This window comes from Homo sapiens, chromosome X, assembly GCF_000001405.40.
Source record: "Homo sapiens chromosome X, GRCh38.p14 Primary Assembly".
Classification (NCBI taxonomy): domain Eukaryota; kingdom Metazoa; phylum Chordata; class Mammalia; order Primates; family Hominidae; genus Homo; species Homo sapiens.
The window spans coordinates 55,012,496-55,033,851 of record NC_000023.11 but is presented as its reverse complement, the minus strand read 5'-3'; the positions used below and the strand labels follow the sequence as shown (position 1 = coordinate 55,033,851).

The following is a 21,356-nucleotide window of genomic DNA, read 5'->3' as shown; positions in this document are numbered from 1 at the left end:
ACTTTTAGAAAATCTATGCTAAGAAAATAACCTAAGATGCAGAGAAAACTTTAAGTACCATGATGTCTACTGCAGTGCAACTGCAAAGTAAAAAGTTGAAACTCCTAAGTCACCGAAGTCTATTCAATCAAACATTGTCTGAATAGTTACTTATTGTCAGGTTGACACTGGGGTTGCAGAAATGAATCAGACCTAGACTCTGATTCCAGAGGAATTCCCACATGGGTAGGAAGTCAGCCAAGACACAGAACAAATCAATGCAGAGAGAGAGAGGGGACTATGTAGAGAAGGGCCAGGAAAGTGTTTCCTTTGGACACGCTACATGAGCATATGGGACTGAAACTTACTTCTCCCTCCAGACTACATTGCCTCATAAAAAGGTGAGAATCACACAACCACCACCCAAAGAGAAAATGAGACATTTTCCTCTAAAGGAGAGGAGATATCAGGCACAACCACAGCCACCTACACTCACGGGCTCAGCTGGACCAGGAATAGTACAGAGAGGCACCACCTAAGTATCCTTCCCAATGACCTGGGAAGTCCCACACACTTTCCTCCATTAGGGCACTTCGAGTTTTTCTCTACGTCACCTCAGAGGTTTGTTAACCTCAGTAGATTTTATTCTTCCAGTTCCTTTTCTGGGTACAGGCAGAACAGAGTAGAAAGAACGGAGGAAATGCATCTGAATGCAACAGGCATTTCTGACAGCCCCCCTAGTCAATGGTTCCAGATTCCTGTCAGCAAGTTGCTCAAGGTCTGATGTGGGAGGAAGACATAAGACAAGGTGCCAGTAGTACAGTGTGATAAATTCTGAGAGAGAAGATGTGGGGGCCCAGAAGAGGGAACAAGATCCAGTGTGGGGGTTTAAAAGGGCCTCCCAGAAGTGATGACCTTTGAGCTCACTTTTCAAAGTGACAAATGGTTAGCCAGCTAAAGAGTTGGAGGTCAAGGTTATTGCAGCTGCATTTGAAATACCTTCTAGAAGAACTGGAATTAATCTTTAGTTTTAAAAATGGTTAAATACACCATGCTATACCCATACTCTCCAATTTACATGCCACTGCATCTCCACTACCTAGCACCACACCTGACATGCTATAGGCACTCAATAAACATTTGTTGAATTAATAAATTAATCCAGATGAAGCAGCAAATATCACAGAAAAGGAGTTAATATTAATATTATTCAAAGTTCTTCTCATCTCATCCTCACAATAATCCAATAGGGTAGGTTCTATGACTGTCCCATTTTATATATGAGAGATCTGGAGATAAGTGAACCAAATAGCTAAGGTGTTGGTGACTTGGTGACTTGGGTGAGTCTGACTCCAGAGTGCATGCTTTTAGTCCACTATATTTTACTGCCAACCCACCCCCAAAATGGGCAAAAAGTAGACCACTCAGAAGAGAAATAGACAACTGATAAAGAAACATGAAAAGACACCCAATCTCATTAATAATGAAAGAAAAGCAAATCAAAGCAACACTGATATACCATTTTTAGTGCCTATAAGATTAACAAATATTTTAAAAATTGAAAATAACAAATGGTATTGGTGAGTTTGTGAGAAAATAGATACACATTTACTCTTATACACCACTGGGTGGGGAGGGGTGTATAACACATGTATAGGACAAATTGGCAGTATCAAAAACTTTAAATGTCTATTACCTTTAGATCCAGGAATGCTTATATTTTAGGATGCCACCCTCTAAAAAAATGCTCTCACAAATGCCAAAAGATGTTCATTGCAACATTAATCATAATGGAGGGGGGAAAATCCTTGGGAATAACCTAAATTTATATCAATAAGGGAGTGTTTAAATAAATTACAGTGCATTCAGATTTTGTAACCTCCATGGTATATTGGCATATGGTTGAATGAAAAACAAACAAAAAAAAGAAATTGCAAATCAATATGTAGACTATGGTCTTATTTATGTAAATATAATATTAATGATGACAATCTGCTCTAAAGATGAAATTGTCTGGTTATAACATGGTCCTGCTGCCTTAGGATTGATAAGGGAAGGGGAAAAAGAGAGTGACAAAAGGGGAAGAAAATGAAAAAGGGAGGAGAAGGTAATAGAAAAGATAAGACAGAGAACTTCACATTTTTAATTGTATATTATGAGAGGAAGAGAAGAGTGTGGGTTCTGTAACTACATTGCCTAGGTTCATAGGCGGGCTCTGTACTTTCTAGTTGGGTAATTATCAACAAGTTACCTCACCTCTCTGAGCCTCAGTTTCTTCATCTGTAACATAGGGATAATAGTACCTATCTTTTAAGGTCCTTATGTGGCTAAATTAATTCATGTAAAGCACTTAGTGAAGGGTCTGGTGCATTGTAAGCACTCAGTCAACAGTAGGTGTTATTTATTTGGGCCAGGCACTGTGGTATGCGTTTTCCATACATGATATTACCAAATTGTTACAACAACCGGGGATCTAGTCTGTGGAAGCTGACTGTTTGAGCTCATAAGCACAACACTGTATTCTAGGTCTGACTCCAGAGCCCTCCCAACTTGTGCCACAGTCACTTCTGGGTTTTATTGCCCTCCTTTTATAGTTGAGGAGATCTATAGTCAGAGAGGTGGTTTTGCTCAAGGTATCCCAGCTCTATGTGGATGGTCTGATTCCAAAGCCCAAATGAGCTAATTTTACTGTCCTATAGAGAGAAGAAAATAGGGAAGAGCCAGAGCTGGGGGAGGGGGTACACTAGAGGGAGGGGCTACTTTGGGTTTTATCTCTAGCAAGGAAGGGACTGAGATACCTTTGGGGCCAATGCAGGGCCAGGCCGGCAGAAGGCAGGGTGGGTGGGGCTGAGTCAGAGGAGAAGGGATAAATGCCAGGTCCTAACCCAAGTACCCACCTGTCATTCGTTCGTCCTCAGTGCAGGGCAACAGGTAAGAGCTGCTTTCAGCCTGGCACCCTATCTCTGGTCTGCCAGCTGGTCTCTCAGGGCTGTACACACTGACTCTCTGGTCTGAGTAGATCTGACTTTTTCCTTTGTTTGTTTCTTAGAATCTGTCTCTTTTTCATTTTCTTTTTATCTCCCATGTCTCTTTCTGTCTTTCCTCATTTTCAGCTTTTTTCTCTCTTTTTCCCTTCGTTACTTTCTTTTGTTAGTTTTCAAGATCATTCATTTCATTTCATCATTCTCTGACACTCTTGCTTTCTCTTATTTTTCCCTCTGAATTCTAACTATCTTTTTCTCTAAATTTCTTTCTCTCCCCCTTTTTGTCTCTTTCCTCGGCTTTGTATCTCTCCGTCTCTGTGTTTCTGTCTCTCTCTTCCTCTCTATCAAGAACGATGGCTTAATATTTCTTCCTGCAATTCCCCATTCCTCTCTCCCTTTGACTCCCTCTACCTGCTGGGCTGACAGCAGAGCTCAGTGGGTCAGAGCCCATGGGGAGCCTAGGGGTGGGGGAAGAGCTAGGGAGGGAAACTAAGAGGATGTGGGGGTGATGGGAATGATGAATTGGGTAAGGAGAGATTTGGGGAATTGAGAGATGAATAATTAGCAGAAATAAGTGAAGAAAGTGGAAGAGGAATGTAGTGTCACTATACAGAAAGTAAACAGATTTCTATTCTCATCCTAATTCACTGTGAGACCCTAGGCAAGTCATTCACTCTCTGAAAAAAAGGCTTGGCCTGTAATTTCCACCACCCTTTCTAGTTTTGATTTTGTGATCTTCTAAATTTTCCTGTTTCTAAGAATTTCTGATTCTCTGATTACAGTTATCTAAAGTTCTGTATGATTCTTTCATGGTGGGAAAGGGGTACTAGGAAGAGAAGTAAGGCCTGATGTTTCCAACTCCTGAAGAGAAATTACCACTTCCCTTCCAGACCTAATTGACTTTTGCAAAGCAGGCCACAAAAGGGGTGGGGGGGTGGGGGACAAGGAATGCTGCAATGAGTGTTTTCTGGCTGTCTGCTGGGGTAGAGTTGCAGTTGGCCCTTTTCACCTCTGGGAGTACAGATTGGGTGCTGACACAAGAGAGGATTTTAAAGTCGTAGGGAAAAACTTTCAGTAATGATCTGTTACTTGGTCTCAAATTTCACCATCATCTCTTTGGTTAAAAGTATTGTTTTAAGAAGATGCCTGGCAAGCATTATCACACATTAGGTACATAAGTTATTGAATGGTAGAGTAAATGAATATTCAACAGTACCTGAAATTCCACTGTAGTTACAGATCTGTTCCTTTGGTAAGGCATTGGTGACAAATGGCATATGACCTGGAAAGAGGCCTATGTTAGTGCAGCAGAGGAGATAAATGTCTAGAGTCAGGCCCTCAGTCAAGAAAAAAAGGTAGTAATATTTGAATCACAGATCCATAATGGTTAAGTTAGGAATCTCTGGAAACAGATTGCCTAGGTTCAAATCCTGCTTCTCCTATGTACTAGCTTTCTGATCTAGACAGGTTACTTAATCTTTTTGGGATTCAGTTTCCCTATCATCACAGGGTTGACATGAGAACACGGCCTGGCACAGAGGGCTCTGTAAGTGTTTGACTATCAGAACTAGGCGGAATCTATGAAATTATCTAGTCCAATGTCAGTGGAGAAACGGAAGCCCAGAGAGGGGAATTACAGAGCCCAAGTTCACACAATAAATTGTAACAGGATTGGGACAAGAATCAATTCTCTAGCTTCCCAAACCCAGCCTGGTATATTCATGTGACTTCCCTTGGCTGTACGTTCATTTTTTCTACATGGGAAATGGAGAAAATAAAAATAATAAAGTCTATCAATTAAATATAATATTTAACACTTTTTTACTGTTTACTCTGGGATAGGTACTCTGCTAAATGCTTTATATGGATTATCTTACTGAATCTTCACAACATTCCTGTGATGCAGATTGTCCTTGTTATTACCAACATTTTCCAGATATAAGATGTACAGCAGGGAAGTGACTTTTCTAAGGTCCCAAAGCTAGTGAGTGGTGGAGCCAGGATTCAAACCCAAGTAGTTTGGCTCTAGAGCCTATACTCTTTATACCCTAAATTGACTAAAATGCTTCCTTGATTCAATTTTACTCACTCTAGTCTCTTGGTAGGTAATGAGATGGAATAGAAACAGAGCCCATGGTAACTAGACTACAAGGTCATGGGTATAATGATGGCCAGGCAGAGTGAGGCAGAGCAAATTTCAGGAAAGGAGTAACAGAACAAGAGAAATGAGAACAGGAGCTTGAAAGAACTTGAGAATTCAACAAATTCCAAGAAGTGGTCTATATTTTCCCAGGACCCTGAGCATATCATGGCCAAAAGCCCCCTAGTAATGATGTGTGTTAATTTCTCCTGTTTTTATATACAGGAGGTAGGTCTTCTCCACCATCCCAAGGCAGGACTGGACTTTGCCTCCAATATTGGGGGCTTTCCTTCCCACTACATACCCCAATGTTGTTGGCATTATTGTTGCCAGTATTGATGTTAGGGGAGTTTACAGGAGCCTGGAGCCTTGTCATCTGCCTTGCCTGCACTTCTGGGCCATCCATTTCTTACCACCAATAGCCAGGGCCAGCTCTAGCCAGATGCTCAGACGTGATTCCAGGAAGGGGCTCCTCTTCTCTCCCACGCCCTGGTCTCAGCTTGGGGAGTGGTCAGACCCCAATGGCGATAAACTCTGGCAACTTTATCTGTGGTCTGCAGGCTCAGCCCCAAGTGCTTTAGCTTTCACAAGCAGGCAGGGGAAGGGAAACACATATCTCCAGATATGAGGTAGGCACTGGATCCAATTCCTTACCTACCTTGTGAAGTGGCCATAATTACCTCACGTTTGACAGCTGATGAAGGCCAAGATCCAGAGAGGGGAAGTGATTTGAACAAGAACATCCAACAATGAAATTGGAGAGCTGGAATTTTAATAAGAAAAGCTAACATTTATTGAAGATTTACTATGTGCCAAAAACTATACTAAAGGCTTAACTTGGATTGTTTCATTTAGTCCCTCCAACAACCCTTCTGTCTTTTCCAATTTCAGGGCCCACATGCCTTGGCCCCACATACCAACCCAGGCTGCTGTGACAGCCCATGAGAGGGGGAGAGGTTGCTCTGGGATGGAACAAGAAAAAGAGGTTGTTTTGTGAGGTACGGGGAGGGTGCTTGTTCTATGAGATCAGGAAGGGAGGGAGATGAAGGAGGTTGCCATATGAGGGCAGGGCCATGAGCTGACCTGTCCCTCAAAACATAAGGCTGAGGGTGCTAGTAGATTCTACTCAGTAACTTTCTTCACAGTGTCAGTGCTTTAGTCTTCTCACATTCTCCCATGTCTCTCCCATTGTACTGTCCCTTATCTTGTCTCACTTTTTGACTCTGTCTTTCCAATTTGCCCTTTTTCTTTACATCTGTCTCTCCTTCTTGCTCTCTCTAGCTGTCTTTCTCTTGGTGTCTCTCAGCTCTCACCCCTCTTAACCCTCATCCCCCTGCTTTAGTCACCTCTCTGTCTCTATCCTTTGATCTTGTCATTTTCTCTACTCTCTTCTCTCTGTCCCTCAGTCTCTCTCTCATCTCCCTCAATTAGGGCCATGATTCTCTTCCCTAAACTTACTTAGCCTTTTGCAATTTCTGGCAGCATTTTTTTATGTTTGTGTCTGACTGACTCTCTACCCCTGCTGGATCCTCTCCACTCCTGTTCTCACTTCTATGAATCTTTGTATAATCCTCTAGACTCATTGATCCCTCCTCATGTCCCTTTCGTGCCCCTTGGTCTATCTGTCTCTGCCTTTATCCCTGTGTGCACTATCACCACCCCCTTTTTCTTTTTTCATTTTCTCTTTCTCTCGACTCAATCTCTGTTTTCATCTCTACCCTGCTCCCTTTCCCTCTACCTTTGATCTCTTTTTCCCCCTCAATTTCTGTTCTTTTAACTCTACCACCACCACCACATCTTTGTTCTCTCTCTACTTTCCTCCTTTTATCTTTCCTAAATTTTCTTTTCTTCTGGCTTTTCTCCTAGTCCCTTCTCCTTCCTCAATTTCAGACTCTGTTCATTCATCAATTTACCCCAAAATTCAACAAATATTTATTGAGTGCCTGTGTGTCATTTGCTTTCTCTTTTTCTGATCTCTTTGCCCCCTTTCTCTTCTCTGTCTTGGCCTCTGCCTGTTTCACTAATCCATAGACTATGTCTTTGTCCCTGTTTTCCAGCCCCACTGGGACTTGCTTTCACCTCTTCCTATATCTGTGCTTATCCAAGAGACAGGAGCAAATTCAAAGACAGCATAATATCAGGCTGGTGGTACACATTCTGTAGGACCTAGGGCCTACCCTTCCTTCCGGATCCCTTGATTTCCTTAAACTGATACATGTGACCTCAAGCTCCTTCTCCCCTCTGGCTGATCCTGCTTAGGAAACACCCTGGGCCAAGCCTCAGGAGCTCTACTCAATGACATATGTTTGCATTAGCAGGCTGAATCTTCACTTGGCTAAGACCAACATTCTTAGAAAGATTCTTGGCCTTAAGTATTGATCAAAGGGTTAGTGGGTTGGCAGTTCTCATCCTGCCACACAAAAACACATTTCAGTGATCCTCATCATCACAGAGGTAGTCAGTGCCAGAATGTGAGTCAGAATCCAGGCTTTCTGACCTCCAGTTAGAACTGTTTCCTTCACCCCTTTGCCCAGTAGTCAGTTTCCTATTTCTTCCTCCCTCATGTTTTATTGGTACATGTTAACATTGGGAAAGAAGTTCTTTCCCTGGAAGGGCAATAAGAGCATCTCGGAGGCAGCAAGTTTTGGGTGGGAAGCTGAAGACGAGGATCAAAGGCTTGGCTTTTTGCCAGGCCCTCATGATGGAACCTCATCTCTTCCATGTCTTCTGCAGGACTTTAGGTTCAAGATGGTGACTGCAGCCATGCTGCTACAGTGCTGCCCAGTGCTTGCCCGGGGCCCCACAAGCCTCCTAGGCAAGGTGGTTAAGACTCACCAGTTCCTGTTTGGTATTGGACGCTGTCCCATCCTGGCTACCCAAGGACCAAACTGTTCTCAAATCCACCTTAAGGCAACAAAGGCTGGAGGAGGTAAGAAGAGGCTGCTAGCAAAAGGGGAGAATGTTAGGGTCCTGGGGTAAAAGTTCCAAGTTATACTGGCCATCTTTGCCTAATAATTAGGACGGTTCATGTGAAAAGTGTCAAGATAGCATGAACTGGCCCCAAAATATACCCAGAATCTGTCTTCTGCCAGGTTCTCTAGAAAGAGTCTCATTCTCGGCCAGGCACAGTGGCTCACGCCTGTAATCCCAGCACTTTGGGAGGCCGAGGCGAGTGGATCACGAGGTCAGGAGTTCAAGACCACCCTGGCCAAGATGGTGAAATCCCATATCTACTAAAAATAAAAAAATTAGCCAGGAGTGGTGGTGGGCGCCTGTAATCCCAGCTGCTTGGGAGGCTGAGGCAGAGAATTGCTTGAACCCAGGAGGCGGAGGTTGCAGTGAGCCAAGATCATGCCACTGCACTCCAGCCTGGGCAACAGAGCGAGAATCTGTCAAAGAAAAGAAAAGAAAAGAAAAGAAACAGTCTCACTGTCATGTCCCTCACACACTATACTCCAGACATGCTGAAACTACTTAAAATTGCCTAAATCAACTATTCTGTCAAGAGTTTGTGCCTTTGCTCCTGTCAGATTACCCTCTCCTAGACCCTGTACTGGAGAATCTCATACTTCTCATTTGACACTAAGCTTGGCCATCATCTCCTCTGCAAAGCCTGCTTAGACCTCCAAACTGTCTAATTCCAATTCTGGCTCATTTCCCCTCCCTCTTCTGGACTTCTGTAGCCCATGTACTTCCTCTATCCCAGCACTGTTCACAATGTGTCTTCAGTGTATGCCATTCCCACCAGTTTAGTAGCTCCCCTAGCACAGGGACCAGACTCATCTATCTCTGTGTCTCTACAATAGCCTGAGATAGGGCTTTAGGGGTACATTAGATCTCAGCAATTATTGTTGAGCTGAACTTATGACTAGAAATGCACCCCAAATTACTCTCTTACCTTTGCATAGATTCTCCATCTTGGGCGAAGGGCCACTGTCCCTTCATGCTGTCGGAACTCCAGGATGGGAAGAGCAAGATTGTGCAGAAGGCAGCCCCAGAAGTCCAGGAAGATGTGAAGGCTTTCAAGACAGGTTGGAGTCAAGTTCCACCTTATGCAACCTTTACTCCTAATGCTTGAACACACTACGTCACAGTCCTGAGCTAGGCTAATACAAAAGCAGCCAGTACACATCCCATGATGAGAAGTCCAGTCTTTCCAGGGGAGCCATGGTAGGCAACAGTTTAGGCTGTATGCTGAAGCACACCATACCTGACAAACACATATGTACGGGCTCCTGAAACTTTTAGTCATTATTCTAAGATGAGCCCTCTAGAATTTTGACTCCTCTTTTTCAGGTGGCTAAACTGATCCCAACAGGCTGGGGTCCCACATTTCAGCAAGACCACTCTATGAGAATATGGATTTGCATGAAAGAGAAAGAGCTGGGAGTAGGTACCTCCTTTAACCAGGGTGCAGATCCCCAGGTCAACTTAATTAGTGCAGACCACCCAAGATAATCACCCTTGAGATATGGCCACACTGTTGACATCTTTCATAGGCCCCTTTGGGATATCATTAAGGACAAAAACTTCAAAATTGAAATTTAATGATGTTTAGAAAAGAAGAGTAAGGTACATTATCCTGCATCTACTTTCTAAATGCAGGACCCAGGGTGGCTGCTCCAGTTACCTGAGCCAAGGGAAAATCCTAGTGGAGAGAAGTATGATTCACCTTATAGAAGGTTTCCTAACAATGTAATAGTCTCCATTCGGGGGGATAAATAGAAGCTCACCTTGGAGAAGATTTCTTCTCGCTGTAGAAGCTGCCCTTACCTTATAAACTTGAATTTTCATGTGTTGCATTGAGCTTAAAGAGGACAACACATGCTTTCTTTTTCCCCCATTCTCTTCACGGCCAATGAATCTCACATTCCGTCTCAGATCTGCCTAGCTCCCTGGTCTCAGTCAGCCTAAGGAAGCCATTTTCCGGTCCCCAGGAGCAGGAGCAGATCTCTGGGAAGGTCACACACCTGATTCAGAACAATATGCCTGGTGAGTTTGCTGAGGTGGAAAAAAAGGGGACCGGAATAGGGAAGGCATTCTGAAAGGGCCTCTGTCACAGTAGGGGAAACAGTACAGAAGGGCCTTGGAACCAAAGGAAATTTGAGTTTAAAATTTAATGCTGGCACTTGCTGGATCTAGGTGTTTTGGCAAGTAAGACACTTTCCTTCAGTGGCATTTAATACCTACCTCAATAGGTTACCATGAGAAGAAAGTGAAATTACATTTATGGAAGTGTTTCTAATGAGGCTTCATTAAATATTAGGCTTATTTCCATTATTTCTTCTCTATGCTTCCCTCAAAAACTTTCACCCTTCATACAGCACCTTTTCCCCATTCTTATATGTGTTTATATTCCTTTCCATAATGACATTTACATTATTTTCTAATGTAAAAGGAATATGATTCATGGTAAAATATTTTTCAACATATACAGGAAAGTATAAGGAGGGAAATTTAAGTCATGCAGAGTTCCACCATTAAGTTTTTGTTATATTTTCTCCCAGATATTTTTCTATGGCTACACACACACACACACACACACACACACACACACCCTCTGCTCTCTTCACCACACCCATGCTTTTGTTAGAAGTGTGATCTTATTTTACCTGGAGTTCGTTATGCTGTTTTGTTCACTTAAAAATATGTCATGGGTATAGTATGGATTCAATATCATTCAGTTAATCAAGCATCTATAATTTAAGTTGTTTCCAATTTTTTGTATTCTCTCAGTTTAGATTGTAGGTTGGTTTTACATACATACAAATGTACTCAAAGAAAATGTATAGTATTACTTTTTTCAATTTTTATTTTTACCTAATAATATCTTGCTATATATTTTACTCTGTGCCCTTTTTTCACTCAACAATATACTGTGGAAATGCTTCCACTTTAACACATATGTATCTACCTTATTTTTCAATGCTTCAAAATATTTTGTAGTATAGATATAATAGAGATTATTTGGCTACTCCTCTATTTGGTTGCTTCCAATTTTTTCTATTACAAACAGTGGTGCAACAAACATCCTTGAATGTATCTCCTTGTGTACACAGGCAAGTGTTTCTCCAGGATAAACACTCAGTGGTGGAAATTCTTGGGATGTAAGGATGTGTACATTTTTGATATTAATACATTTTGTCAATTAGCCCTCCAACATGGCTGTACCAGTTATCAAGGAGGGTATCCATAGTCTCATACCCTTACCAGCCCTTGATATTATCAAACTTTAAATCTTTATCAATTGATAGGTGAAATTTTGTTTTCCCAGTTTTATTTTTCCTGATTAAGAATCTTTTTCTACATTTATTGAATTGTCTGTTCATATTCTATGCCCATTTTTCTACTGAGTTGAAATTTTTCATGTTAATTTTTCAGAGATTATATAATAAATTCTGAGTATCAATCATTTGTCTGTTAAGTATGCTGCAAATATTTCTCTAGATATGTCAGTATGTGCATTTAAAAAACTTTTGATATGTATTTCCAAACATCTCTGCAGCAAGGATGTTACCAGTTTGCACCTCCAGCAGCCATATAAATTGCTGTCTGCAACATGATTTCTGTCTCACGTAAAGAGTTCTAGAGTTTAACAAGCTCTTTGGCAAACGTTATTTCAATTTATCCTAGAAATAAAGTTACCCCATTTTGTAGTGGTAATGGTTAAAGAAGTGGGCTCTGAGTTACTTACTTGATGAACACTTACTTGCTGCATGACCCTGGTCAAGTTGTCTAACACTTAATGCCCCAGTTCCCTCATCTGTAAAATGGAGATACTAATAGAACTGTCCATGGAGCATTGTTGTGAGGAATAAATTAAATATTTATAAAGTTCCTAGGAAAGAACTTACATGTACTAGGCATTCATTAAATGTTAGCTATAATGATGTAATTGAATATTAGCTATCTTTATTAGTATTATTATGACTACTAATACTATAGCAGTAATAATACTACTATTACCATGTGCCATTTATTAGTTTGAATATATTACATGTTGTTGGTTGTCAGATGCTCACAACTCTCCAAGGAAAGTATTATTAGCCTCATTCTACAAATAAAGAAATTTAAAGTAAGAAAGAAGATTCATGACTTGTTCAAGGCCACACAGCTAGGAAGTGGCAAAGAGATCGCTAGAAACAAGATCTGTTGATACTCCTTCCAGTGAGACTGAAAGCAGTGATTCTAGTAAGGAGGCTGCCACACCAACCCGGGAAGAGAGATGAGGCCATAAGAAAGTCTAAATGAATGTGTGAATGAACTACTGAGTGAATGAGTGAATGAGTAAGCAAAAGGATGGCTGAATGAAGTAGTAGAGAGTTAATGTGGTCCATAAGTCAATGACTGAGCAAATAAATGAATATGTGGAAAAAGAGTTGGAGAACTCAAAATCAGCAACATGGGTAAAATACAGACTAGCCAGGGAGAGACTTAAAACGAATTCTTTTCATCCTCATATCTGCTCCTGCAGGAAACTATGTCTTCAGTTATGACCAGTTTTTCAGGGACAAGATCATGGAGAAGAAACAGGATCACACCTACCGTGTGTTCAAGACTGTGAACCGCTGGGCTGATGCATATCCCTTTGCCCAACATTTCTCTGAGGCATCTGTGGCCTCAAAGGATGTGTCCGTCTGGTGTAGTAATGATTACCTGGGCATGAGCCGACACCCTCAGGTCTTGCAAGCCACACAGTGAGTAGTAGGCTTTCAGCCATCAGCAGTGGCCAGAGGAGATGAAAAACCACACATGGAAAAAAAAAAAAGGCAGAGCTGGCAGTGGAAACTTGGGTTCTATCACCACTTCTTTTGTCCAAGGTCCTCCATCATATCTATTCCTTGGATATGAAATAAGTCAACACACCATGTTTCCCAAACTCTTCGGTGTCCAATGCTATGGAGGGGAAGGATGGGAGACCAAGCAAGGCCCACTCTGCCTGAGTTTTTAATCTAGCTGCAGAATTAGTATTGCCAGAGATGGAGTGTGACTTCCTCTAGGTCTTCCAAACTACTCAAGCTCAACCTAGCTTCTCCCTCTCTCCCTGAGTACCTCCAGTCCTAGAAGGAAGGCACATGTCTCCCTATCCTCCCCATCCTTCCCTCTACTTTGTCTCATAGGACACAGTTTATATAGGATCACTAACTCAACATTGACTCCCATCAAGGAAGAGAAACCTACCCAGTTCCTCGATGCCTGACAAGAGTTTCTTTTTCTCCTTTTCTCCTGTTTTCTCCTGGCCAGGGAGACCCTGCAGCGTCATGGTGCTGGAGCTGGTGGCACCCGCAACATCTCAGGCACCAGTAAGTTTCATGTGGAGCTTGAGCAGGAGCTGGCTGAGCTGCACCAGAAGGACTCAGCCCTGCTCTTCTCCTCCTGCTTTGTTGCCAATGACTCTACTCTCTTCACCTTGGCCAAGATCCTGCCAGGTAAGCCTGAGGCCTGAGCTTTGTTCAGGGCTGGTATCCTGCAATACAGCATCCAGTTTCACTGGTTCCATCACTCCTTCCCTGTATTTGGAGTTCCCTCACTCCCATTGTTCTTCCTTCTTATCCACCTTGCATATCCTCAACACTGGATAATTATATCCCTCTGCTTTCTCTCCTTCTGCACGTAGAGAGGACCATTACCGGGGAACATTACCCCACCTCACAGAAAGGAAACACTATAAATTCATCACCTCCCAACTCAACTGAGCTCTTAACACACATACATAGTTATTTTATGTCTCCACAGGAGCTTTTTCAAACTTCTTCTCCTCTTCTAAAACCTCTGACTACCTTCTCCTCCACACTTAGCAAATAACCTCACATCTTACTTCACAATAAAAACAGAAGCCCCAGACAGAGAATCCTTATTTATTGCCACCAAACCTACGAACTTATCTAATTGTTTATCTAGCCTTGCCTCATTCTTTCCTTTTACAATGGAAGGCATATCTCTCCTTCTGCCTAAAACCAATCCCTTCACTTGTACACTGGTTCCCATATTCCCAGTCTCCTACTCTCTAGTCTGTAATGTCCTCACCTCATACGCCTTGTTGTCCTTCCGCCAAGGCCCAATCCAGAATGAATACAACCCTCCATCTTCACTATATCAATTCCGGGCTCATACAGTTGCTCAGACAGGAGTCACTAAAAATTCATACTCTTAACCTCTACTGGGTTCTCCATGGTCTCTGACAATCCCATTTCCCTGGTCAGTTCTCGAAGTTTATGGGGCAGTTTTGCCAAACCACCATTATCCTCAGCCTTCCCACACCCCCTCCTCCCCATCTCCCTCAGCAGACAACTTCATGTTCTACTACATTCAAAATAGAAGATACCAGACAGCAATGTCCTTGACTCCCAGCCACAAAGCACCTACAAACTCATAAGCATCTTCAAATGTCCTCTCCTCACTCCTTCTCTTCTGTCATAGTGGAAGAAGTATCCTTTTTCTTGTGACTAATCCTTCCACTGTTGCTCTGTGCCCCATTCCCCTCTACCACCTTAGGAATCTTGACCTATTGGCTCTCTCCTCCTCTCCTGTATCTTCAGCCTCTCCCTCTCTTTAAACATGTTTTCAAGTCTCTTGTATCTTATAAAAAAACATTGCCTCAACCCCTGATCACTCTCTAGCTACTGCCCTCTTTCCTCCCTATAACAGGCAAACTGCTTGAGAGAAGTCTTCGCTCTTACTATCTACTTCCTCACCTCCTGCTGATTCTTCAGCACAGCAAAAATATTACCACCACTTCTCAGAAACTTTTTTTGAGTCCACCCATAAGCCCCAACTAAACTCAACATCTTTAAGTTGTTTTTAGTCCATCCCCTCCTCAACCATTAAACTTCTTTCCATCTCTACTGCCAGCATCCTAGCCTGATCCAACATCATTTTTTAAAGAAAATTTTACCTTTGCCCTCCGATAATCTATTCTTTACAACAGTCAGAATTTTTTTTAATGCAAAACTATCTTTGTCACCCCACCCTCAGCCCTGGTCAAAACCCTTTAGTGGACCCCCATTCCCCCAGGACCAAATCCAAATTTCTTATCACAGCTTCTAAAGTTCTCAATAATCTGGCTTCTATGTATCTCTTCGGTCTCACCTTTTTGCATCCCTCCTCTCACTATTTCATTCAGTAATACATTCATTCATATACTCATTCACTTACTTATAAATCTGTCATCAGTTTATTTATCCATTCATTTAATAAATGTTTACTTAGCATCTACTGTGTGCTTACTCTTATACTGGACACCAGAGACAGAGAGATAATAAGATGTTTTTGCTCCCATGCAACTCCCAGTCTGCTTGTCTTTCAAGCCATTTTCTCCAGAAAGCCATAACTCATTTTCTCAGGTGGAAGTTATCCCTTAATCTTATAATAAGGCCACAGTTCCTTGATGGCAGTGCAGTTGGTGGCAGGGGTTGGGGAGGTCCAGGAATCAACTCCCTCTACCAATTTCACATGCCCACCTGCCCCACCAGGATTGCCCAGTAAAAAGCCCTGCATTCTTCAAATCTTTCTGGACCTTAGCTTTCTCACTTGTATAGTAAAGGGATGAATCCCATGATCACTAACAGCCCTGCCAGCTCTGACATGCCATAAGCTTATGATTCCAACAGTAAAAGCCTGATAAATATCCATCCCTGTAACCACAAGCAGATGCTACCTGGAATGGATGGAATTTCATCTAGACTAGGAACAATCTAGCATCAGTCCGAGTCAACAAACATTCCCTGGGGTAATCCCTTTTTCAAGTCTTGATCTTATATATTGGGGAGAAGGAAAATAGGTCCCGTCCTCAAAAAACTCTGAAGCTTCTTGGGAAATTAAATGTTCTTCCACCCCAAGGCAGTCAGAGGCTAGACCAGGGTTACAAATGACTGGAGGGAAGGATGTAGGGGTCAGAATTTGGGAACAGTGAAGTCCTTCCAAGGGAGAAAGAAGTGTCACAAAAGTTCCCAGAGAAGGAAGAAGCAGAGCAAGGTCTTCAAAGGGAAGAAAGGGTTGGCCCTTTTCTTTGCCAGGTCAAACCTGAAGGTTGAAGTGGGAGTACTGGGACAGAAGCTTAAGGATTATACATCTGCTTCCTCAGGGTGCGAGATTTACTCAGACGCAGGCAACCATGCTTCCATGATCCAAGGTATCCGTAACAGTGGAGCAGCCAAGTTTGTCTTCAGGCACAATGACCCTGACCACCTAAAGAAACTTCTAGAGAAGTCTAACCCTAAGATACCCAAAATTGTGGCCTTTGAGACTGTCCACTCCATGGATGGTATGTATATGAGTGAGTGTATGTTTACTAGTGTTGGTCTCACAAAAACCATGATGATCATGATGATGATGATGACGATAACATTATAACAGCTAATATTTATAGTGTTTATTATGTGCCAAGCAAAATTATTAGTATTTTACATGTATTAATTCATTTAATTTTCTGAACAATTCTATGTGATAGGTGTTATTATTATTTTGATTTTTTACATGAGGAAACTGAGACATAAGAGTAATTTGTCCAAGGTCACACAGCTAGTAAATGCCAAAGAATGGAGGCAGCTATTACATTCATCTTATAGGTAAAGAAACTAAAGTTCAGAGTTGGCATCCAATTCATCTTGAGTGGCTCAGCAAGTTGGTGCTAAAGTGAGTATCTGCACCCTAACACATATAACTCCAATTCCTCGAGTAACACTTCTCTTGTTAGAAATGATATGTAAATCAATAATCCCAGTGTTTGGTTTTTATGAAGGAAATTTCAAAAACCATTGCCTAGGATTTTTTTCAAGGTCCAGTATGAAGCATTGGGGTCAAAACAGGTTTTCAAGTCAGAGAGACCTGGGTTCAAATCCCACCTTTGACAGTTACTGGCTATGACCATGGGTAACTCTTTAACTGTCTAAGCCTCAATTTTCCCAAAGGTAAAATATCTGGTTGTAAGAATTAGAGATGATAGAAACCATTCTAGTTATTATGCTTTAGTAGAATTAAATGATCTTCACACTCCTACCTCCTTTCTTTGCTCAATTGAAACAATGTCCAAAGCTTTCTATTGCTGGCCCTGTTGTGTAGAAATCATGTGTTTTAGGCATCCTCTTATGGATTTATTTAAGGGAAGAGGTCCTCAACTCATTTCAGTTTGTCCCTTTTCCAACTGAAACAAAAGAGTCCATAGTATTCCCTGATTTAGGTATCTTAAGTGGCATGTAATGACTATACACACAGGCTCTAAAACCAGACTATCCATGTTCAAATCCTAGCATGACCATTTACTAGCTTGGGCAAGCTTCTTAATTGCTCTGTGTCTCAGTTCTCAGTTGCTTATTTGAAAAATGTAAGTGATAATAATTAAATAGGTATGCAAATTAAATGAGTTAATATATGTAAGAAACTTACTATTATGCCCACTCCCACATTTCTAACACTAGCAATAAAGTAAAACTATCCTATCCCTTTTGTATATTTCTACCACTGAGACTATTCAAATTCATTATTTCTCTAGTGGAAACTATGTTGGTACCATTCTACCTCGTTACATTTGCAAATAAATAGTTATTTACCTATTTTTGGGGTGCAAACTCTGCCCAAACTGTTGATCCTTAGGCTGAATCTCTCCCATTGAAATGATGCTAGGCTGAACACAGCAGAAACAGGAAAATAGACATTGTCAGAATGAAGTAAAAACAGAAAGACAAAGAGTCAAGCCTTGATCCCAGGCTGGGGAACACACACACATGCGCACACACACGTACACACACACACACACACACACACACACACACACACACACACACACACACAGAGAGACAGAGAGAGAGAGAGAGAAGGCAGGGATGAGATACAGGCAATCGATCCATACACAGAGGTTTGTAATAGTTCTAAATGAAGGCGCACATCCTCCTTCCTCTCTACAACACCCTTTTCCAACCCAAAGTAGGCATGTATGGGAAATTCCACATTGGAGATGGAGCTGGGGAAGGGTTATGATGTCCTACCTCTATCCCTTGGCTTTGCTCAGGTGCCATCTGTCCCCTCGAGGAGTTGTGTGATGTGTCCCACCAGTATGGGGCCCTGACCTTCGTGGATGAGGTCCATGCTGTAGGACTGTATGGGTCCCGGGGCGCTGGGATTGGGGAGCGTGATGGAATTATGCATAAGATTGACATCATCTCTGGAACTCTTGGTAAGTGAATGCTTTGGGCCTTCTTATATACCCTCCAGAGAGGAGGCCCTTACAAAATTCTTTTCTGCCTCCTCCCCAAAGCTATAGGGGTTGTTTGGACAGAATTCACAGCCCCAGGCTGCTGCCATCCTGGACTCCCTCTCTCCACTCGCATCCCACTGCAGAGTTGATGAGAAAGTCTGGTAGAGTTTTTTGAAAAGACCTTGAACTAGGCCAAATAGTTAGATTCAACTTGAGTATGTGAAGAGCTGTGTTTCTAAACCCCTCCCCCACCCTAGCCCCAAGCTTCATCTTAGCTCCACTCCTGACCCTATCCAGCTAAAGGTCCCCACCCAGCTCCTGCCTATCTAGTCATTGCATATGGCAAGACTTGAAAGTCCTATCTCAAAGCAGCAGAATTATCAGCTACGACTGCCTTGTCATGGACAGATGAGCAGAGGCCTGGGAAGACAGCCTGGAGCCCCAACTTCTGGTGCACCCCCTTGTGTTATCTGGCACATGATCCTGTTGCTCTGGGACTGATTATGGGATCTGTGTATATCTTATTCCTTTCTGTCTCCAGGCAAGGCCTTTGGCTGTGTGGGCGGCTACATTGCCAGCACCCGTGACTTGGTGGACATGGTGCGCTCCTATGCTGCAGGCTTCATCTTTACCACTTCTCTGCCCCCCATGGTGCTCTCTGGAGCTCTAGAATCTGTGCGGCTGCTCAAGGGAGAGGAGGGCCAAGCCCTGAGGCGAGCCCACCAGCGCAATGTCAAGCACATGCGCCAGCTACTCATGGACAGGGGCCTTCCTGTCATCCCCTGCCCCAGCCACATCATCCCCATCCGGGTGAGAGCCCCACCATGCCCATTGCCCTCTCCACCTATTTATTCTGGGAGCCTCACGCTCCCAACAAACCTACATCTGTTGCTGTCTTCAATTATTTGCTTTCCTGCTAACCATTCCCTTTATTGCCAGCTTTGTTTCCCTTTTTGAAAAATTATCAGCCATTCTGGATTAACCAGTCTTTTCCTTGCATCAGCCATTACCTCATGCTTATTAGATTATCCTAACCCTAACAATAGCGAGTGCTCACAGCCTATAATTCAGAGTTTTTCAAACTGGATCAAGACAATTAATGGGTCACAAAATCAGCTTAGTGGGTTATCATTAGCATTAAAAAAAGAAAAGAAACAGAAAATGTTGGAGTACATCACATACTAAGGGTATCATCAATTTGTGAAAAATTTGTATGCATTTTGGGTATTTGCATATACACATGTATGTGTATGTGTGCGTTTATGGTCACGGTGTAAAACGTACTTCTTATTGAGAAATGAGGGCAGAAAAATAAAATCAAAAGCCATAGGATTAGCTGCTACTTTGGATCCTCAATATGAGCATTTACTGCCTTTAAAAATGAACTGCTACTTCTTTCTTAAATAACACGTATTTGTGTGAGTCAGTAAGCCAGGGCAGGGAAAGGACACTTATTTGTGACAATTTTGTGGATGAGAAATAGTCACTGCTCTTTAGACTAACCTAGTATTTCCTTTAAACACTCATTTTATGAATTAATTTAGTGACAGCACCCCAGAATTGGCTTGGCGGGGGTTCCAGAATTGGCTTGGTGGGGGGTATCTTCTCACCCAGAACCATCCCAAACTAAGATATTAGCTAAGTAAAATCAGTGTGCTTGCTCTGCAAACAGCTTCCAAACAGGGCTCCTGGTACCACCTCTGCTCCATCCTTTTCAAACCAAATTGCTAGCTCTGAGCTCCTCCTTGATAGAAATTCTGGAGCTGCCACTAAGCCCCTAATGGAAAAAAAAAATCTATCCCAAAATTCAGTGATGTTCCCTCATCTAGTTCCCTCCATCTGCTTAATGGAGCTAGTGATGGTGGAGCCAGAGTGGCAGGTACTGATTAGCCTTTCTCCTGAGTCCAGGTGGGCAATGCAGCACTCAACAGCAAGCTCTGTGATCTCCTGCTCTCCAAGCATGGCATCTATGTGCAGGCCATCAACTACCCAACTGTCCCCCGGGGTGAAGAGCTCCTGCGCTTGGCACCCTCCCCCCACCACAGCCCTCAGATGATGGAAGATTTTGTGGGTAAGTTCTCAACATGGGTGCCTACAGGACCTCCCTCCCCTCAGCCCCAGGATCTGAAAGAGAAGCTGAGAGGACAGAGACCACTGAGTTTACAAAATATTTCTGGAACATCTAATGTGTGCCAGCACCTATACTAGGGTCACAAATAAATGAGAAGCAGCCCCTACACTTGTAGGGCTCCAGTTTGGTTGGGGATACCATAGTGAACACAAACAATGACACTAAGGGATGATCAAAGCTCCACAAGGCAGTGCATGATAGAGTTGTCGGAGCAGAGAGGAGGGGCCTGACTCAGCCTGAGGGATGCAAGACCCACTTCCTAGTAGAGGTGACACCTGAGCTGAGTCTTGCAAAGTGAGTGGTATTAAAAGAAAGAGGGCATGGAAGAAGTATTCCTACCAGAGGGAAGAGCATGAAGATAGGTGAGGAGAATGAGAAGCAGCCAGGGATATATCAAGAACAATAAGCAGGTGGTATTGGAATGTAGGGTCATAGGAATGGAGTGGGGCAGGGGAGTATCAATCTATGAGTCTACAAAGACAACATGAGATAGAGACTGGATTGAGAGGCTTGTAGAGCTGAGTAGTTTGAGATTTACCCTGAAAATGCCAGTTTAGTCAATTCACCTAATGTTTGTTGGATTTCTGTTGGGTAGTTTTGTTTTTGTTTGTTTGTTTTTGTTTTTGTTTTTTTGAGACAGAGTCTGGCTCTGTAGCCCAGGCTGGAGTGCAGTGGCACGATCTTGGCTCACTGCTACCTCTGCCTCCCGGGTCCTGGCTCAAGCAATTCTCCTGCCTCAGCCTCCCAAGTAGCTGGGATTACAGGCACGTGCCACCATGCCTAGCTAATTTCTGTATTTTTAGTAGAGATGGGGTTTCACCATGTTGGCCAGGCTAGTCTCGAACTCCTGACCTCGTAATCCACCTGCCTAGGCCTCCCAAAGTGCTGGGATTACAGGCGTGAGCCACCATGCCCGGCCTGGGTAGTTTT

General features: G+C 42.8%; 2 protein-coding genes across 5 annotated transcripts in view, besides 11 other annotated features; one reads left to right on the top strand and one right to left on the bottom strand.

Moving 5' to 3' along the window:
* Positions 1–5,735, bottom strand: part of PAGE2B (PAGE family member 2B) — a 50,793-nt gene extending 45,058 nt beyond the window's left edge. The window contains exons 1-2 of one of the 2 annotated variants that reach the window (XM_011530785.3): positions 5,517–5,735; positions 4,180–4,245 (exon numbers count right to left, since the gene is read on the bottom strand). In XM_011530785.3, the coding sequence (XP_011529087.1) occupies positions 4,180–4,240 (61 nt within the window). In that variant the 5' untranslated portion in view covers positions 4,241–4,245; positions 5,517–5,735. Of the gene's footprint in view, positions 1–2,876; positions 2,950–4,179; positions 4,246–5,516 lie in introns of those variants that run through there. The other variant, XM_011530786.4, reaches the window with a different exon arrangement.
* Positions 2,870–7,851: an enhancer, noted in NCBI's record as "pAp-I1(4.9kb)-LUC construct fragment". NCBI's record gives its function as "erythroid enhancer in human K562 and mouse MEL erythroid cells {active_cell/tissue: K562 | MEL}" and the evidence as "EXISTENCE:reporter gene assay evidence [ECO:0000049][PMID:9642238]".
* Positions 2,870–10,095: a biological region, named in NCBI's record as "ALAS2 intron 1 and 3 erythroid regulatory elements". NCBI's record gives its function as "regulatory_interactions: ALAS2".
* Positions 2,875–21,356, top strand: part of ALAS2 (5'-aminolevulinate synthase 2) — a 21,923-nt gene continuing 3,441 nt past the window's right edge. The window contains exons 1-10 of one of the 3 annotated variants that reach the window (NM_000032.5): positions 2,875–2,910; positions 7,837–8,032; positions 9,012–9,134; positions 9,985–10,095; positions 12,578–12,800; positions 13,348–13,532; positions 16,187–16,366; positions 18,110–18,274; positions 18,837–19,105; positions 20,204–20,366. In NM_000032.5, coding sequence (NP_000023.2) covers positions 7,852–8,032; positions 9,012–9,134; positions 9,985–10,095; positions 12,578–12,800; positions 13,348–13,532; positions 16,187–16,366; positions 18,110–18,274; positions 18,837–19,105; positions 20,204–20,366 — 1,600 coding nt within the window. In that variant the 5' untranslated portion in view covers positions 2,875–2,910; positions 7,837–7,851. Of the gene's footprint in view, positions 2,911–5,994; positions 6,102–7,836; positions 8,033–9,011; positions 9,135–9,984; positions 10,096–12,577; positions 12,801–13,347; positions 13,533–16,186; positions 16,367–18,109; positions 18,275–18,836; positions 19,106–20,203; positions 20,367–21,356 lie in introns of all 3 variants that reach the window. The other 2 variants (NM_001037968.4, NM_001037967.4) reach the window with 2 other exon arrangements.
* Positions 5,639–5,658: a transcriptional cis regulatory region, noted in NCBI's record as "ALAS2 GATA1 binding motif range of bases targeted for CRISPR/Cas9 perturbation among clones A-1, A-2, A-4 and A-9". NCBI's record gives its function as "positively regulates ALAS2 gene expression in K562 erythroleukemia cells {active_cell/tissue: K562}" and the evidence as "EXISTENCE:mutant phenotype evidence [ECO:0000015][PMID:27044088]".
* Positions 9,116–10,095: a silencer, noted in NCBI's record as "pAp-I3(850)-LUC construct fragment". NCBI's record gives its function as "erythroid silencer in human K562 erythroleukemia cells {active_cell/tissue: K562}" and the evidence as "EXISTENCE:reporter gene assay evidence [ECO:0000049][PMID:9642238]".
* Positions 18,376–18,836: an enhancer, noted in NCBI's record as "ptk-I8(460)-LUC construct fragment". NCBI's record gives its function as "erythroid enhancer in human K562 and mouse MEL cells" and the evidence as "EXISTENCE:reporter gene assay evidence [ECO:0000049][PMID:9642238]".
* Positions 18,434–18,672: an enhancer, noted in NCBI's record as "pAp-I8(239)-LUC construct fragment; minimal active enhancer fragment containing the CAC-A, CAC-B, GATA-A and GATA-B motifs". NCBI's record gives its function as "erythroid enhancer in human K562 and mouse MEL cells" and the evidence as "EXISTENCE:reporter gene assay evidence [ECO:0000049][PMID:9642238]".
* Positions 18,434–18,836: an enhancer, noted in NCBI's record as "pAp-I8(403)-LUC construct fragment". NCBI's record gives its function as "erythroid enhancer in human K562 cells" and the evidence as "EXISTENCE:reporter gene assay evidence [ECO:0000049][PMID:9642238]".
* Positions 18,540–18,553: a protein binding site, noted in NCBI's record as "CAC-A site; CACCC site A". NCBI's record gives its function as "important for erythroid enhancer activity" and the evidence as "EXISTENCE:protein binding evidence [ECO:0000024][PMID:9642238]".
* Positions 18,595–18,615: a protein binding site, noted in NCBI's record as "CAC-B site; CACCC site B". NCBI's record gives its function as "important for erythroid enhancer activity" and the evidence as "EXISTENCE:protein binding evidence [ECO:0000024][PMID:9642238]".
* Positions 18,609–18,632: a protein binding site, noted in NCBI's record as "GATA-A site". NCBI's record gives the evidence for it as "EXISTENCE:protein binding evidence [ECO:0000024][PMID:9642238, PMID:27044088]".
* Positions 18,645–18,668: a protein binding site, noted in NCBI's record as "GATA-B site". NCBI's record gives its function as "important for erythroid enhancer activity" and the evidence as "EXISTENCE:protein binding evidence [ECO:0000024][PMID:9642238, PMID:27044088]".